The sequence below is a fragment of the Homo sapiens genome, chromosome 12 (assembly GCF_000001405.40).
Source record: "Homo sapiens chromosome 12, GRCh38.p14 Primary Assembly".
Lineage (NCBI taxonomy): Eukaryota > Metazoa > Chordata > Mammalia > Primates > Hominidae > Homo > Homo sapiens.
Genome location: NC_000012.12, coordinates 110,782,223 through 110,786,150, shown reverse-complemented (window position 1 = coordinate 110,786,150; position 3,928 = coordinate 110,782,223).

Here is a 3,928-nt window from a genome sequence, read left to right as displayed (position 1 = left end):
CAATATAGCAAGACCCCACTCAAAAAAAAAATCATCGGTGGGTGCAGCTGATTAGTCGGTTACAACGGATGCTGGGAAAGGGTGTACAGGCAACCCGGCTTCCTTGAGGTGTGCTCTGCCTGTCCCCCTGAGAGCCATCAACCAGAGAAGTCACAAATTCAGCATGGGGAGACAATCGCTGAGCAGCGGAAACATGGAAAGCCCACAGTGTTTACTTTGCCAGGTATGTCAGAGACTAGGGGCAGGCACCAAAGTGGATCCTAAAGTCCTAAAGGATCTTTTTTTTTTTTTTTTTTTTCTAAGAAAGGGTCTTGCTCTGTTGCCTAGCTGGAGTGCAGTGGTGTGATCATAGCTCATTGCAGCCTCAGCTCCTGGGCTCAAGCGATCCTCCTGCCTCAGCCTCCAGAATAGCTGGGACTACAGGCACACACCACCACGCCTGGCTAATTTTTGTATTTTTTGTAGAGATGGGGTCTCACTGTGTTGCCCAGGCTGGTCTCAAACTCCTGGGCTCAAGCCTCAGGAAGCTGAAGCCTCAAACTAGTACCTCAGCCTCCCGAAGCACCGGAAATAGAGGTATGAGCCGCTGCGACCGTCCCTAAAGGATCTTACCTGCCAGCTCACACTCCCTTCCCCAGATGAAGCCTCTGGACCAGATGGGCCCCTGACTGGGGCAGCCATGGCCACCTGATCCAAAGCCATCAACCCATTGGCTGGCCAGTAGCCAAGTAGAGCCTCTCCCACGAGCAGAGGCTCTCAAGCTTTCTCCATTCCTGGTGTCCTTAGAAGGTCAGGGTTTTCAGCCAGGCATGATGGCTCATGCTTGTAATCCCAGCACTTTGGGAGGCCAAGGCGGGTGGATCACTTGAGGTCAGGAGTTCAAGACCAGCCTGGCCAACATGGTGAAACCCTGTTTCTACTAAAAGTACAAAAAAATTAGCTGTGCATGGTGGCATGTGCCTGTAATCTGAGCTACTCGGGAGGCTGAGGCAGGAGAATCACATCGCTTGGACTTGGGAGGACGAAGGATGCAGTGAGCCGAAATCATGCCATTGCACTCCAGCCTGGATGACAGGGTGAGACTCTGTCTCAAAATAATAATAATAAATAAATAATAGTCAGGGTTTCAGCCAGGTGCAGTGGCTCACACCTGTAATTCTAGCACTTTAGGAGACTGAGGTGGTGGATTACTTGAGGTCAGGAGTTAAAGACCAACCTGGCCAACACGTGAAACCCATCTCTACCAAAAATACAAAAATCAGCCGAGTGCGGTGGTGCATGCCTGTAATCCCAGCTACTCGGGAGGCTGAGGCAGGAGAATCGCTTGAACCCAGAAGGCAGAGACTGCAGTGAGCTGAGATTGTGCCACTGCACTCCAGCATGGGTGACGGGTGACAGAGCGAGATTCTGTCTCCAAAAAAAAAAAAAATGGAATCTTAGGGTTTTCTTTTTTTTTTTTCAGGGTAGCCTTAGGCCAAAAGAAATACCTAACAGTTCCACTTGTTAAGTAGTTACATCAAGCAACTTAATAACTATTTGTGGCCTAACAACTTAGCAGCCTTTTGAAAAGATAAATTGAAAGAAAAAATATTTTTCATTCATTCTGAAATATCCACACTTGCTGTCGAATGGAAAGTGTGTGTCTGTTGGGCACTGCACAAATTCTCGAACCTTGGAATCAGATCAGGGCACTGCCTCATTTCCTGTTCCATGCTGATTTTCGGCTACTAATTGCTTTTTATTACAGCAATCACAGAAAGCCCAGCTTGCGAAAAGATGACATTGTGGAAAGGGATGTAGTGCGGTCTAACGCTGAAACTGTAAGCTCCTTCAGCCAGTAGTTTGGGAAGCATCTGAGAGATGTGAACTTTCACTGTATTTGCTTTGAAAATGTAAATATCCCCTGCTGAACCTGTGAGTTTGTGGGGAACCCCAGCGCCTTGGTCCACAATTTGAAAATTGCTGCTTTCAGGGTGTAAACTGAGAGACAAAGGCAGTAGCTGGCCAAACAATGATGGAATCAGGGAAGAGATGGGTGGTTTCAGCCTGAGGCATGCTGACGACCAGGGAAAAACCTATCTGCAGAGAGAAGAGGGGGAATCAAAATAAAGATGAGAAGCCAGGAAGTCCTAGAAGGAAAAAAAAAAATGCAATTATCTTATGCGGTATTTACTGCAACTGGATTGCACAATCTGGCCCCTGAATCCATTTCTCTCTTTTTTTTAATTTTTGTTTTTTGTTTTTTGAGACGGAGTCTCTCTGTCGCCCAGCCTGGAGTGCAGTGGCGTGATCTTGGCTCACTGCAACCTCTGCCTCCAGGGTTCAAGCGATTCTCCGGCTTCAGCCTCCCGAGTAGCTGGGACTACAGGCACGCACCACCACACCCAGCTAATTTTTTGTATTTTTAGTAGAGACGGGGTTTCACCATGTTGGCCAGGCTGGTCTTGAGCTCGAGACCAGCCTCAGCCTCCCAAAGTTCTGGGATTACAGTCGTGAGCCACTGCGCCTGGCCCTGAATCCATTTCTCATGTCGAATTTATGGTTGGTGGCCCTAAATGAGTGCCTCCCACACCTTTTCCCAGATCCAGGAAATAGTGGCAACTCCATCCTTCCAATTGCTCAGGCCAAAACTTTGGATCCTCCCAGACTCTTTTTTCTCCCATTCCATGCCCAATTCCTTACCGAATTTTGTCATCTCTGCCTCCAACACACAGCAGTCCCCCGTTATCCTCAGGGGACATGCTCCAAGACTCCCTGTGGATGCCGGAAGCTGAGGACGGTCCTTGAAGCCTGCATAGACTATGTTTTTTTGATCTGATAACTGAGACAGCTACCAAGTGACACAAAAGGATGTTTCACGTCCCAAAACGGAGGACAGGCAGGATTCCATTATGCTACTCAGAACGGCACTCAATTTAAAACTTACAAATTATTTATTTCTGGAATTTTTCTATTTTATGATTTTCTGACTGCGGTTGACCATGGGTAACTGAAACCACGGAAAGTGAAACCATAGAGAAGCGGGGGACGACTGTAGATCTAAAATCTGACCACTTCTCCCCATCTCCAAGTTACTGGTCCATCACTTCTCACCTGGGCAAGGCAGTTCTGGGGTCCAAACTCTCAGATGAACCCATCTCACTCAGAATAAAAGCCAAAGCCCGTAACATTGCCACAGGGCCCTATGGGAATAAGCCTCAGCCTCCTCTGATCACACAACCCCTTGCTCCGCTTTCACTCACACTATTCCAGCCACACAGGCCTCCTTGCTGTTCTTTTGTCTCTTTTTTTTTTTGACAGAGAACTGGAAAAGTGATTCTCGTGTCTCAGCCTCCCAGGTAGCTGGGATTAGAGGCATGCCCCACCACACCCAGCTAATTTCTGTATTTTTAGTAAATACGGGGTTTCGCCATATTGGCCAGGCTGATCTCGAACTCCTGAACTCAGGTGATCTGCCGGCCCCAGCCTGCCCAAGTGTTGGGATTCCAGACATGAGCCACCGTGCCCGGCACTTTTCTGTTCTTAAAACATGACAGGCACCTGCCCTTGGGGCCTCTGCACTGGCTGTTCTCTCTGCCTACCACCTCATCCCCCAGATACCTTCATGGCTCACTCCCTCATTTCCCTCAGTCTTTGCTCAAATGTCACTTTACCTGTGTGTCCTCCTCTGACCACCTGTATAAAATAAAATCAGCCCCCTGCACCTCTCTGCACTCCCTGGTCCCTCACCTTTGGGAGGGAGTACTGAGTTGCAGGACCTAATGAGACAGTCAAGTGTAAGGGGGTCCCCAAAAAAAACTCCAACTAGCCTGCCCACTGGGAGGAGTGTGCACTGGGGTGGAGCCACAGAAACTGCCACCATTTGCAGCGGGGAGGAGCCTGGCCCCTCCTGTTCCTGGGTGGAACCTGGGATTCAATTTGTGAGGCA